General features: G+C 56.0%; 1 protein-coding gene across 16 annotated transcripts in view, besides 5 other annotated features; it reads left to right on the top strand.

The window, feature by feature from the left end:
* The window catches only part of MLXIPL (MLX interacting protein like), a 54706-nt gene that overhangs the window by 35671 nt on the left and 5365 nt on the right, over positions 1–13670 (top strand). For 9 of the 16 annotated variants that reach the window (NR_134541.2, XM_047420437.1, XM_047420435.1 and 6 more), the window contains exons 3-8: positions 4565–4647; positions 4817–4906; positions 5219–5263; positions 6126–6327; positions 6469–6549; positions 12542–12711. Coding sequence is in view for 14 of the 16 variants with exons in the window: in XM_047420435.1 (XP_047276391.1) it covers positions 4565–4647; positions 4817–4906; positions 5219–5263; positions 6126–6327; positions 6469–6549; positions 12542–12711 (671 nt within the window). In the remaining 2 variants the exon portion in view is untranslated. Of the gene's footprint in view, positions 1–4564; positions 4648–4816; positions 5102–5218; positions 5264–6125; positions 6328–6468; positions 6550–12541; positions 12712–13670 lie in introns of those variants that run through there. The other 7 variants (XR_007060040.1, XM_047420432.1, XM_011516278.2 and 4 more) reach the window with 2 other exon arrangements.
* Positions 4115–4698: an enhancer, noted in NCBI's record as "H3K4me1 hESC enhancer chr7:73021869-73022452 (GRCh37/hg19 assembly coordinates)". NCBI's record gives its function as "activates a minimal SCP1, AML or CMV promoter by ChIP-STARR-seq in naive H9 embryonic stem cells {active_cell/tissue: H9 hESC(naive)}" and the evidence as "EXISTENCE:reporter gene assay evidence [ECO:0000049][PMID:30033119]".
* Positions 8871–9407: an enhancer, noted in NCBI's record as "H3K27ac-H3K4me1 hESC enhancer chr7:73017160-73017696 (GRCh37/hg19 assembly coordinates)". NCBI's record gives its function as "activates a minimal SCP1, AML or CMV promoter by ChIP-STARR-seq in primed H9 embryonic stem cells {active_cell/tissue: H9 hESC(primed)}" and the evidence as "EXISTENCE:reporter gene assay evidence [ECO:0000049][PMID:30033119]".
* Positions 9084–9378: an enhancer, noted in NCBI's record as "tiled region #11638; HepG2 Activating DNase matched - State 18:Pol2". NCBI's record gives its function as "activates a minimal TATA promoter and a strong SV40 promoter by Sharpr-MPRA in HepG2 cells {active_cell/tissue: HepG2}" and the evidence as "EXISTENCE:reporter gene assay evidence [ECO:0000049][PMID:27701403]".
* Positions 9084–9378: a silencer, noted in NCBI's record as "tiled region #11638; K562 Repressive non-DNase unmatched - State 14:Gen5'". NCBI's record gives its function as "represses a minimal TATA promoter and a strong SV40 promoter by Sharpr-MPRA in K562 cells {active_cell/tissue: K562}" and the evidence as "EXISTENCE:reporter gene assay evidence [ECO:0000049][PMID:27701403]".
* Positions 10104–10398: a silencer, noted in NCBI's record as "tiled region #5103; HepG2 Repressive non-DNase unmatched - State 18:Pol2, and K562 Repressive DNase matched - State 8:EnhW". NCBI's record gives its function as "represses a minimal TATA promoter and a strong SV40 promoter by Sharpr-MPRA in HepG2 and K562 cells {active_cell/tissue: HepG2 | K562}" and the evidence as "EXISTENCE:reporter gene assay evidence [ECO:0000049][PMID:27701403]".

Raw genomic sequence — 13670 nt, 5'->3', positions numbered from 1 at the left:
ACCTCGGCCTCCCTAGTAGCTGGGACTACAGGCATGCGCCCCCACACCCAGCTATTTTTTATTTTTAATTTTTTGTAGGGGCAGGGTCTCACTAGGTTGCTCAGGCTGGTCTCAAACTCCTGGCCTCAAGCAATCCTCTCAGTTCAGCCTCCCAAAATGTTGGGGCTACAGGCGTGAGCCACCACACCGTACCAGGACAAACTTCATCTTTGCTGGTGTTCATTTCCTCATCTGGAAAGCCAGGGGCAGACACACTTTGAGACCCTCCTTCCTTATCTAGCCCCCTGGGAGTCTATGCACCCAAGGACCCAGCCCTTTGTTTTCTGTCCAATCTGGGCTCAGAAACCAGGACAAAACCCCTCCTTCAATCCTATCAGTGTCCATTTTGGAGAATGCTTTATTTTATTTTATTTTTTTTTTTTTGAGACAGTCTCACTCTGTCACCCAGGCTGGGGTGCAGTGGTGTAATCTCAGCTCACTGCAACCTCTGCCTCCCGGGTTCAAGCAATTCTCATGCCTCAGCCTCCCAAGTAGCTGGGATTACAGGCATGCGCCACCACGCCTGGCTAATTTCTGTATTTTTAGTAGAGATGGGGTCTCACTATGTTGCCCATGCTGGTCTTGAATTCCTAGATTCAAGTGATACGCCGGCCTTAGCCTCCCAAAGTGCTGAGATTACAGGCGTGAGCCACCGTGCCCAGCAGATTTTGGAGAATGTTCTTTAGGACAGAACTTTGTAAATGATGCTAAAAAGCCCTAGTAAATTTCATGTTCCAGTGGTCCCCCTTCCTCTGTGTCCTCGTTTGTCCCAGAGGAAGTTGGCTGGGGCAGGAAGGGTCAGCAGTTGTTCTCTTTGTCAGAGCAGCCAGGAAAAGTCTCAGGTTGCCTCTAAGTAGACCAGCTGTGTGTCAAGCTCTGTGCCAAAGGCAGGAGCTGCTTTTACTCCCTGCAGCAAGGCGAGCATGTAAAGACCTGACAGGCCAGGGTGGAGGGGAGGTGGGCAGCGCTGTGGGCTTTGGCAGGCAGGAAGGCTTCCTGGAGGAGGCGCTATCCTGAATTGTGGGCAGAGGAGGGAAGGTAAGAGGGGCTTCCCTGTTAGAATAAGACCAGAAGGGCCGGATGTGGTGGTTCACGCCTGTAATCCCAGCACTTTAGGAGGCCGAGGCGAGCAGATCACTTGAGGTCAGGAGTTCGAGACCAGCCTTGCCAACATGGAGAAACCCTGTCTCTACTAAAAATACAAAAATTAGTGGGGCGTGGTGGCGCTCACCTGTAATCCCAGCTACTAGGCAGGCTGAGGCAGGAGAATTGTTCGAACCCAGAAGGCAAAGGTTGTGGTGAGCCAAGATCAGGCCACTGCACTCCAGCCTGGGTGACAGAGTGAGACTTCATCTTAAAAAAAAAAGGAAAAGAAAAGGTGGGCTGTGTGGCTTCAAGGTGAGGTGTATAAAGGAGACAGGGAGGCCGGGCACAGTGACTCATGCCTGTAATTCCAGCATTTTGGGAGGCCGAGGGAGGTGGATCGCCTGAGCTCAGGAGTTCGAGACCAGCCTGGGCAACATGGCGAAACCCTGTCTCTACCAAAAATACAAAAAACCAGCTGGGCATGGTAGCACATGCCTATAGTCCCAGCTACTCGGGAGGCTAAGGTGGGAGGATCGCTTGAGCCTGGGAGGTGCAGGCTGCAGTGAGCCAAGGCCGTAGCACTGTACCACTGCTCTCCAACTTGGGTGACAAGAGTGAGACCCTGTCTCAAAAAAAGGAGATGAGATGCTGAGAGAAGCAAGTGGTGGCCCAGTCATGGAGGAGGGGGACGGGTTTGGAAGCCAAGCCAAGGAGTGTGGACTTTGTCCCAGAGGTAGTAGGGAGCCATGGAGGGTTCCAGACCTGAACTGCACTTTAGAAAGAATTGTCCTGGCTGCAACTGGAAGATGAGCTCCGAGTGTGACACTGGAGTCAGGGAGGTCCCTGTGAGAAATGACACCAGGCCAAGGGGTGACACAGTGAGAGAGGATGGAGGGGAGGGGACAGCGGGAGAAATGTCACAGATCCTATGAGATTGAGATTTTTTTCTCAATTAGACCCGGAATATAACAGTCAGACCTGGAATGCTGGGAGTCAGTGGGGTTTTTGTGGCAAGTTTTGGGACATCCTAGGGAGGGTCCCCAGGCAGCTGGATATGAGGCTAGAGCAGGAAAGGGCCAGAGTGAGAGAGGCTGCAGGGTGGGCATTGCAAAGGAGTCAGTGAAAAGTGGTCAGGGGCTGGGAGCGGTGGCTCACGCCTGCAATCCCAGCACTTTGGGAGGCTGAGGCAGTCAGATCGCTTGAGCCCAGGAGTTTGACAACAGCCTGGGCAACATGGTGAAACCATGTTGAATTTTTTTTAAAAATTCACAGATTAGCTGGGTGCAGTGGTATACACCTGTAGTCCCAGCTACTCTGGAGGCTAAGGTAGGAGGATCACTTGCACCCAGGAGGCGGAGATCGAAGTACCCAAGATCCCTGCCACTGCACTCCAGCCTGGGCAACAGATTGAGACCTTGTCTCAAACACACACACACACACTCCATCCTGGGCAACAGATTGAGTCCTTGTCTCAAACACACACACACCAGCCTGGGCAACAGATTCAGTCCTTGTTTCAAGCATACACACACACACACACACACACACACACACACAAAGCGGCCAGGGCCCGGTGAGGTGGCTGACACCTGTAATCCCAGTGCTTTGGGAGCCTGAGTTGGGGGATCATTTGAGGTCAGGAGTTTGAGACCAGCCTGACCAATATGGTGAAACCACGTCTCTATTGAAAATACAAAAAATTAGCTGGGCGTGGTAACGCGTGCCTGTAATTCCAGCTACTTGGGAGGCTGAGGCAGGAGAATCGCTTGAACCCGGGAGGTGGAGGTTGCAGTGAGCTGGGATCGTGGCACTGCACTCTAGGCTGGGCAACAAGAGTGAAACGCCATCTCAAAAAAAAAAAAAAAAAAAAAAAAAGTGGCCAGGGAAGCTAGGAGATAAAGAAAAGCCTCGTGAGCCCAGGAATTTGAGGCCAGTCCTCAAAGCAACATAGTGGGGCCCTGTCTCTACCAAAAAATTAAAAATAACAGTAATAAAAAGGAAGAGGCCAGGCACAGTGGCTCACGCCTGTAATCCCAACACCTTGGGAGGCCAAGACAAGAGGATTCCTTGACCTCAGGAGTTCGAGACCAGCCTGGGCAACACAGGGAGACCCTGTCTCTACAAAAAATTTAAAAATTAGCCAGACATGGTGGCGTACACCAGAGGCTGAGGCGGGAGGATCGCTTGAGCCCAGGAGGTCAAGGCTTCAGTGAGCTATGATTGCGCCACTGCACTCTGGCCTGGGCAACAGAGCAAGAACCTGTTTCAAAACAACAACAAAAACAAAAAAGAGCCTGGAGTGTGTGTTGGGGCCAAGGGCAAGAGCCTGGGGAGAGGTCAGAATTAGAGACTGGGAGGGGAGGTGGAGGCCTGGAAGAGGACACATGTTGGTGGTCAGAAGTGAACCAAGGGTGGTTCTCTGCAATGAAAGTGGGTAGTGCCTAGCCTTCTGAGGCAGAGGACCCAAGGCTCTAGGCCCCTGGCCTGCCAGTCTAACCAGGACTTTCTTTTTTTCTTTTTTTTTTTTCTTTGAGATGGATTCTTGCTCTGTCACCAGGCTGGAATGCAGTGGCGTGATCTCACTGCAACCTCCACCTCCCAGGTTCAAGCGATTCTCCTGCCTCAGCCTCCCAAGGAGCTGGGACTATAGGCATGTGCCGCCATGCTCGGCTAATTTTTGTATTTTTAGTGGAGACGGGGTTTCACCATGTTGGCAGGCTGGTCTTGATCTCCTGGCCTCGTTATTCACCCACCTAGGCCTCCCAAAGTGCTGGGATTACAGGTGTGAGCCACCGCACCCAGCCCTAACCAGGACTTTCTGGAGGCAGCTCACTCTCTGTGGCCTATGGCCCCACAATCCATTCAGCAGTCTTTGCAAGTGTACCTATGGGGCTCCAGAGGAACCCAGAGAAGGTGTGGGAGGTTGGATTCACAGTGCCCTGTAGAGGAAGATCAGGCTGGGTGAGGTGGCTCAAGCCTGTAATCCCAGCACTTTGGAAGCCCGAGGCAGGTGGATCACCTGAGGTCAGCAGTTCGAGACCAGCCTGGCCAACATGGTGAAACCCCGTCTCTACTAAAAACACAAAAATTAGCTGGGCCTGGTCGTGGGCGCCTGTAATCCCAGCTACTCAGGAGGCTGAGGCAGGAGAATCGCTTGAACCCAGGAGGTGGAGGTTGCAGTGAGCCAAGATCACGCCATTGCACTCCAGCCTGGGCAACAAGAGTGAAACCCTATCTCCAAAAAAAAAAAAAAAAAAAGGAAGATCTAGGAGGCTAGAGCATCATCCGAGAAGACTTCCTGGAGGAGGCAGCATGGGCACTTAATCTGAACGTCAAAGGCCAAGCAGGATTTCGCAGGGTGTCACTTGAGTCCCAGTCCCCTGGGGTGAGGTGGGGGATGAGGAAGCTGGGTGCCCCTGACCTGGCCCCCTTCTCTCAGATGTGAAGCGGAGGAAGAGCCCCGTGTGTGGCTTCGTGACCCCCCTGCAGGGGCCTGAGGCTGATGCGCACCGGAAGCCGGAGGTAGCTGGGTTCTGGACCGCCTGCCCACCTGCCCACCTGCCCACCCACCAAGACCAGCCCCTGCCTCCTGTAGCCTTGCGCTGAGCAGACAGGGATGGGGTGAAGGGTGGGAGATGGGTGTGCGGTGCTCCCCTCTCTACTGATCCCCCTCCCCCGGCCCCTACCCCAGGCCGTGGTCCTGGAGGGGAACTACTGGAAGCGGCGCATCGAGGTGGTGATGCGGGAATACCACAAGTGGCGCATCTACTACAAGAAGCGGGTCAGTGGGGGAGGGCCAGGGAGGCCCCAGAGCTTTCCTCCTGCGGCTGCCGGCTACCGCCCGCCTCGGAAGATCCCTGGAAAGGGGATCCTGACCCCCGAGCTTGCGCCCCTCGGGCCCTCCATTCAGTCCCGGGCCGACAGCGCCACCGTGTGGCCACAGCGTCTCCTAGCGGCCTCCTTACCTAGGGGTCGGGTGAGCTCCTGATGGGAAATGGGGGATCTCATCGCTTGTGAGTAGAGGAGACTTTGGGGGGAAAGTGATGGAGGATGGGGCAAGGGATCCGGTGTCCAACTCTGTGTGTCCCTGCAGCTCCGTAAGCCCAGCAGGGAAGATGACCTCCTGGCCCCTAAGCAGGTGGGTGCTCTGTAAGTCCAGCAGGCAAGGGCATCCCTTTGCCCCCCAAGTAGATGGGAGGCAGAGTTGACAGTTTCCGCCTCAGTGGGCAAGACAGTGGCTGGGCATGAGGGTGGAATGTGGGATGTTACTGCCATCCTGTGGTTCATTTGTTGAGCTCTTCTCTTCTTGGGGGGTGAGGGTGAGGTGGTGAGAAGACCCCAGGTCATTGAGCAAGTGGTGGGAGGCATGGGAGAACAGAGGGACCAGGCCGGGCGTGGTGGCTCACGCCTGTCATCCCAGCACTTTGGGAGGCCGAGGCGGGTGGGTCATCTGAGGTCAGGAGTTCGAGACCAGCCTGGCCAACATGGTGAAACCCCGTCTCTACTAAAAATACAAAAATTAGCCGGGCATAGTGGCGCATGCCTGCAATCCCAGCTACTCAGGAGGCTGAGACAGGAGAATCGCTTGAACCTGGGAGGTGGAGGTTGCAGTGAGCTGAGATTGCGCCACTGCACTCCAGCCTGGGCAACAGAGTGAGACTCCGTCTCCAAAAAAAAAAAAAAGAAAAAGAAAAAGAAAACAAACAAAAAAAAAAACCAGAGGGACCAAAGAACTGGGGTCCCAGACAGGAAAAAATCTAAAGAGCAGGAAGGGGACCCCTGTATCTGCATCCTGGTCTATCTCCTGGGGGAAGTTCTTAGAGGCCAATGGAGTGATCTTGGCCTTTCAAGCAGCAAGCTAGGTCCACTAGGGAAAGGTGACAGAGGTGTGAACAGACAGACCCTCTGTCCTGCTGACCACTTGACCCTGGAGAGGGGTGATATGGAAGATCGGGGCAGTGGGAGCTCTCTAGCGGCTGCTGACGGCTCTGTCTCCCTAGGCGGAAGGCAGGTGGCCGCCGCCGGAGCAATGGTGCAAACAGCTCTTCTCCAGTGTGGTCCCCGTGCTGCTGGGGGACCCAGAGGAGGAGCCGGGTGGGCGGCAGCTCCTGGACCTCAATTGCTTTTTGTCCGACATCTCAGACACTCTCTTCACCATGACTCAGTCCGGCCCTTCGCCCCTGCAGCTGCCGCCTGAGGATGGTGAGGGTCTGAGAAAGGGCAGGGGAGAGGGGTGAAGGCCTGTGAGATTCCAGGAGGCCAAGGGAGGGATGGCTGGGGATGGGGGTGGGGACCCTGCTCCTCCCTGCCTGCTGCTGCTGATGTCGCCACTGCTGCCTCCAGCCTACGTCGGCAATGCTGACATGATCCAGCCGGACCTGACGCCACTGCAGCCAAGCCTGGATGACTTCATGGACATCTCAGGTGGGGCGAGCCCCTCCCCAGGTCGGGTGGACGGGCAGGGTCTGTGTGAGGAAGGCCGATGAGCCCATCCCAGGCCCCTCTGGGAGGGCTGATAGTCTGGGTCGTTTCTTTTTTTCTGTCTTTTTATTTATTTATTTATTTTGAGATGGCATCTCACTCTGTCACCAAGGTTGCAGTGCAGTGGTGCCAACCTCTGCCCTCCAGACTCAAGTGATCCTCCCGCCTCAGCCTCCTGAGTAGCTGGGACTACAGGTGTGCACCACCAAACCCGGCTAATTTTTTTTGTATTTTTGGTAGAGATGGGTTTCACCATGTTGCCCAGACTGGTCCCAAACTCCTGAGCTCAAGCCATCCTCTTGCCTTGGCCTCCCAAAGTGCTGGGATTACAGGCATGAGCCACCATGCCTGGCAGGTCTGGGTGGTTTCTGAGGGTTCTTCCTGGTCTCCTTTTGTCCAGCTGGTGTGGCCTCCAATGGGGGCAGGGCCCAAGAGAGTACCTGGCCAGGGAACCAGGGGCTCCCAAGAAAGCAGTGAAGGCTGGGACTCTCTCAGGGGAGAGAAGAACTTTGAATTATTTGGGTCTATTTATTTTTCACACAATGCATTTTAAAACTATTTGCTAGGCTGGGCATGGTGGCTCACACCTGTAATCCCAGCACTTTTGGGAGGCCGAGTCAGGCAGATCACCTGACGTCAGGAGTTCGAGACCAACCTGACCAATATGGTGAAACCCCATCTCTACTAGAAGTACCAAAATTAGCTGGGCGTGGTGGCAGGCACCTGTGATCCCAGCTACTCAGGAGGCTGAGGTGGGAGAATTGCTTGAACCTGAGAGGCAGAGGTTGCAGTGAGCCGAGATCGCGCCACTGCACTCCAGCCTGGGTGACAGAGCAAGACTCTGTCTCAAAAAAATTAAAATAAAAAATAAAACTATTTACTAGAGAACATTTCAAACATGCACACACTAGTAGAGAAAGAGTAGCTCAGCAAAAACCTCCCAAGTCACCATCACTGATGTCACCGACTTATCAACTCTTGGCCAGTCTTTTATCCGAGAACATTCCTTCTCTTCTGTTATGTTTCTATTTTATTTTATTTTAATTTAATTTATTTTTGAGACAGGGTCTCATTCTGTTGCCCAGGCTGGAGTACAGTGGCACAATCACAGCTCACTGCAGCCTCAACCTCCCAGGCTCAAGTGATCCTCCCACCTCAGCCTCCCGAGTAGCTGGGACCACAGGCACGCACCATTATGCCTGGCTAATTTTTTTTATGTTTTGAAGAGACAGGGCCTCCCTGTATTGCCCAGGCTGGTCTAGAACTCCTGGGCTCAAGAGATCCTCCCACCTCAGCCTCCCAAAGTGCTGGGATTACAGGTGTGTGCCACCGTGCCCAGTGCGTTATTTTAAAGAAAATCCCAGGCATGCATCATATCTTGTAAAGCTTTTTTTTTTTTTTTTTTTTTTTTTTTTGAGACGGAGTCTCACTCTGTCACCCAGGTTGGAATGCAGTGAGTCCATCTCAGCTCACTGCAGCTTCCGCCTCCCAGGTTCAAGCGATTCTTGTGCCTCAGCCTCCTGAGTAGCTGGGATTACAGGCATGTGCCACCACACCCAGCTACTTTTTGTATTTTTAGTAGAGACGGGGTTTTGCCATGTTGGCCAGGCTGGTTTTGAACTCCTGACCTCAAGCGATCCTCCCACCTCGGACTCCCAAAGTGCTGGGATTACGGGTGTGAGCTACCGCGTCTGGCCTAAAGCAATTTTTGTAAGTCATGAGTGTCCCTGCCTCCCTCTCCTGACCACAGGGCCACCAAGTTACTGATTCCTCAGTGTCCTCCCAGAGATGCTCCTGTCAGTAGAAGCACATGTGGACAAATGTCTCTGTTTTCACAATTGACTTTCCAAGTGGCCTTCCTCACTTCGCTGTAGGTCTTGCAGGTTATTCCCGATAGCCACACATTTAGGGACCCCCGGAGCTATGTGCGGGCCAGGTAGATATCCAGGCTCAGCCCGTCTCATCGAAGCCCCTGGGGACAGAAAGAGGGTCCCTGGGATAAAGCTTAGTCTTAGTGACCTCCTAATTCCTTCCCCACGGGGTCCTGGGCCTGTCAATCAAGAGGTGGAGGCCTATGGGGCGGGAACTAGGGAATGAGGAACCACCCCCACCCCTGTTCCAGTCCCGGGAGGGGGTGGGGGCTGCCCAGGGGCAGAAGTGTGCATGGCAGTGCCCTGGGAGCAGGCCAGCCTGGGAGGGCAGCGGCCCTGTCTGGGCACACAGCGCCCGGCCACAGGTAGGAGCCCAGCCACCCCCACCTGGGGTCTGGGCAAGACCAGCAGGGACTGGGGCTAGGAGGCGATGTCTGGCAAGCCCGGGTGGCTGCTGGCGCATGGGGGAAAAAGTGTGGGCCACACAGAGGAGGTGGCTCGTGTGGCCCTCTCTTATCAAACATTCCGTGTACCCAGAGGGCAGAGCGCACTGGTACCACCAAGACGGCAGCTCTCGTTGCCCCCAAGAGCCTCCCACTGGGGAGGTCTGGCTGGAAACCCAGGGAGGGGACCAGAACTCTATGGAGGCAGGAGGCTTAGTGAGGGGTGCTCAGGGAGGCAGCCAGAGGCAGAGGAGCTCAGGGAGGGGATGACAGGTCAGGTCCGTGGAGGGGACAGAGGCTAGGGAGGGACTTGGGCCCTGGTGAGCAGCTCGGGCTGGGAAGCAACTTCTCTCAAGGCAGGGTGGGGACAGGCCTGGGCAACGATGGTAAGCGGGTGGCTGGTGACTCAGGGATGAGAGGGCCTTGCGGCCCCATGACCCCTGCCCGGGACCCAGGGAGTGGGCAGCAGCTGTGAGCAGGGAGGAGCCCTAGGCCCTCAGCGGCCTGGGGCCAGGCACAGCATGAGGCTGATTCTAGAGCCAGGGCCTCGGGGACCTAGTGACAGGAACTGTGGACCCTGGGAGATGGGGGAGCAGCAGTGACCACTCGCCATCTCCCACCTGGTCCCCCTTTTTTTGAGATGGAATCTTGCTCTGTTGCCCAGGCTGGAGTGCAGTGGCATCATCTTGGCTCACTGCAACCCCCACCTCCCGGGTTCAAGCAATTCTCCTGTCTCAGCCTCCAGAATAGCTGGGACTACAGGCGCCCGCCACCACGCCTGACTAATTTTTGTATTTTTTTTTTTTTTAGTAGAAACGGGGTTTCCCCTCATTGGCCAGGCTGGTCTCGAACTCCTGACCTCAGGTGATCCGTCCACCTCAGCCTCTCAAAGTGCTGGGATTACAGGCGTGAGCCACCGCGCCTGGCCTGGTCCCCCTTTTAAAGAAAGGCAGCAGGGGGGCCTGTAATCCCAGCTACTCAGGAGGCTGAGGCAAGGAGAATTGTTTGAACCTGGGAGGCTGCAGTGAGCCGAGATCGTGCCACTGTACCCCAGCCTGGGCTACAGAGCGAGACTCCATCTCAAAAAAAAAAAAAGAAAGAAAGAGAGAAAGAGAGAGAGAGAGATGAAAGAAAGAGAGAGAGGGAAAGAAAGGAAGGAAGGAAGGAAGGAAGGAAGGAAGGAAGGCAGGCAGGCAGGCAGGCAGGCAGGCAGGCAGGAAGGCAGGCAGGCAGGCAGGCAGGCAGGTGGACAGCAAGAAGACACCGTTTTGCCATGAGGTTAGACACGCGGACAGGCACAGAGCAGACGCACGTGCACCATGCTATCATGGCAGGACAGGTTCACATGGCCTCAGACGGAGCGACAGACACCCAGAGGGTAGGCAGAGGCTGCGTGCAGACCCCATGCTGAGACTCCAGGGTTCAGCGACTGCAACACACAGGCTCTGCACCCTCCTGCAAAGCAAAGCCACTGACGACACACAGGGCCGGGCGCGGTGACTCACTCCTGTCATCCCAGCACTTTAGGAGGCCAAAGCAGGAGGATCGCTTGAGCTCAGGAGTTTGAGACCAGCCCGGGCAACATGGCAAAACCCCATTTTTGCTAAAAAATACAAAAATTAGCTGAGTGTGGTGGTGCATGCCTGTAATCCCAGCTACTCGGGAAGCCGAGGCATGAGAATCGTTTGAACCCAGGAGGTGGAGGTTGCAGTGAGCCGAGATGGTGCCACCGCATTCCAACCTGGGTGACAGCAAGGCACGGTGGCTAACTTCCTCCCCTCGCCCTGCACCCCTTTCCCACCCTGGCATTCTCTCTGGGCACCTCCTTTCTGTACCAGCAGATCAGGGAAAGGGAGCCACCAGGGGATGGGAAGGGGGACTTCCTGAGCTAAGCCTGGTGCTGTGCAGGGGAGGGGACTGCTTCCTGGGGTTCCTGTTCACACCCACAGTCCCCTGCTGTCTCCCACGCAAGCTCATTATAATCCCAGCACTTTAGGAGGCTGAGGCAGGAGGATGGCTTGAGGCCAGAAGTTTGAGACCAGCCTGGGCAACATAGCACGATTCTATCTCTGGGGGATGGGGTTGGGGGTGAAGACACAAACACACACACACACACACACACACACACACACACACACACTTGACCCTGCAGTGGGTTCTGGGTTTGGGGTGACCTTATCTAACTGACTCCTGGTCTCCTTGGAGGTGGCTCCTGGGAGGCAGACTTGAGCAGCTCTCCTGGCAGGGGGGTGGGAGGGAAAAAACTGGGAGCTGGGGCCCACCCAGGTCTGTGGGGAGTTGTCACGGTGGGGTCGGAACTGCCCAGACTAAGAGGCCTCAGGAGCTGGCACGGATCACAGGCTGGTCAGGGTCAGAGAAAGGTGCCCGGAAGGGAGCGGGTGGGCGGGCGGCGCCCAGGCCCGGGATGTGGTCAGGCCGTGGCCAGCTGCTTCCCAAAACCAGAATAGCCCAGGACTTACACAACCCGCACCCCAAACAATCCGCTACTGCCTCCCCCAGCTCTCGCAGGCTTCCCAGACCCCTTGCCCCACCCCACTCAGAGCCCACCCTTAGGCCCCTCTCGCCCCCACCCCACTCAGAGCCCACCCTTAGGGCCCCTCTCGCCCCCACCCCTTTCGGAGCCCAGCCTTAGGCCCCTCTCGCCCCCACCCCACTCGGAGCCCACCCTTAGGCCCCCTCTCATCCCCACCCTACTTGGAGCCCACCCTTAGCCCCTCTTGCCCCCACCCCACTTGGAGCCCAGTCTTAGGTCCCCCTTCACCCCCCCCCCACTTGGAGCCCACCCGTATCCCCCTCTTGCCCACACCCCACTCAGAACCCACCCTTAGGCCCCTCTCGCCCCCACCCCACTCAGAGCCCACCCTTAGCCCCTCTTGCCCACACCCCACTTGGAGCCCAGCCTTAGGCACCCCCCTCACCCCCATCCCACTCAGAGCCCACCCATATCTCCCTCTTGCCCACACACCACTCAGAGCCCACCCTTAGGCCCCTCTCGCCCCCACCCCACTCGGAGCCCAGCCTTAGGCCCCTCTCGCCCCATTACACTCTTCACCCCACTCCTAGGCTCCACCTGTTGACCTTCCAACAAACCAAGCTTGTCCCGGACCCAGTGACCTCACGTTCCCCCTCATCTCCAACTCACCCTCTTGAACTTCTGCCACCCTGGGGCCCCTCCCATGCCAGGCCTCCTCCCCTAGCACCGTACCCCTTTTCCACCCTGGCACTCGCTCTGGGCACCCCCTTTCTGCACCTCCAGCAGATCAGGGAAGGGGAGCCACCAGGGGGTGGGGAGGGGGACTTCCTGAGCTAAGCCTGGGGCTGGGGAGGGGAGGGGGCTCCTTCCTGGGGTCCCTGTTCACATCCACAGTCCCCTGCTCTCTCCCACGCAAGCTCATTCCACCCAAGACGGTTGCTGCTTCCCCTAATCGAGACAGAAACCCTCCCAGTTTCACAATCTTCTGTGGAAGGGACCCCCACCCTCTGCCCGCCAGTCCCCATGTCCCCACCCGCCAAGGCTGGGGACAGGCCACTCTCCTCTCAGCTGTTTCCCAGCCATAGCCCTGGCCCTAACTGCTGTTGCCCTGTGTGTCTGAATTACAGATTTCTTTACCAACTCCCGCCTCCCACAGCCGCCCATGCCTTCAAACTTCCCAGAGCCCCCCAGCTTCAGCCCCGTGGTTGACTCCCTCTTCAGCAGTGGGACCCTGGGCCCAGAGGTGCCCCCGGCTTCCTCGGCCATGACCCACCTCTCTGGACACAGCCGTCTGCAGGTGAGCTCACCCCACCCCGTCCAGCCCTGTGTAGCTCACTTGAGAGCTGTTCCTGCCCTGTTCATGTCCAGGAGGTATCAGACACTCCCTGAGTGCCCAGTCTTCTGCTTGGAGATTGGAGGGAAAGAAAGACCCCATCTCTGCCCTCTGGGAGGGACCCCGTGAAGCAGAACTGGACAAAACGGTTGTGGGAGAAAGCTAAGGGCATGGAGACCATGGAATGGGCTCCACCAAGGGCCAGTTGCTTGTGGAAGGCTTCCTGGAGAAGGGGAGTTTCTGGGCCTTAGAGAATAGGTCAGCTTTGGACAGAAGGGACTGGCTGACCTCAAGCCAGATGGGAGAACAGCAGGAACAAAAGCTTCGAGGCAGAAAGCTGAGCGTGGATGTTTAGGAAACAGTGAATCTACCATTTTGGTTCATCAATTCCCCATATGCAATTCTTTTTTTTTTTTTTCTTTGAGACAGAGTCTCACTCTGTCGCCTAGGCTCGAGTGCAGTGGCATGATCTCGGCTCACTGTAACCTCCGCCTCCCGTGTTCAAGCGATTTCCGGCTTATTTTTGTATTTTTAGTAGAGACAGGGTTTCACCATGTTGCCCAGGCTGGTCTCAAACTCCTGACCTCAGTAGTCCGCCCGCCTCGGCCTCCCAAGGTGGTGGGATTACAGGTGTGAGCCACCACACCTGGCCCCCAGGTGCAGTTCAGAAGTTGCTTCCTGCTGCTTGGTTATAGGCCTTTTCCCTCCATCATCAGACTTTTCAGGTGCTAATTCTAATCGGTTGCTGAGGGGTGTCTCTCCTCCATCAGACAGTGAGCTCCTTACTGAAAGGGTTATGTTTTGCTCACCACTGCATTCTCTATACCTAATACAGCTCAGGCACATAACAGCACTCAGTGAATGGTTGTCCAATGAGTGAGTCAGTGACTGAATGAATGAGCAAGTGTGCAGATGAATGGGCG

The sequence above is a fragment of the Homo sapiens genome, chromosome 7, assembly GCF_000001405.40.
Source record: "Homo sapiens chromosome 7, GRCh38.p14 Primary Assembly".
Classification (NCBI taxonomy): Eukaryota; Metazoa; Chordata; class Mammalia; order Primates; family Hominidae; genus Homo; species Homo sapiens.
This window is presented reverse-complemented; position numbering and strand designations above follow the sequence as displayed.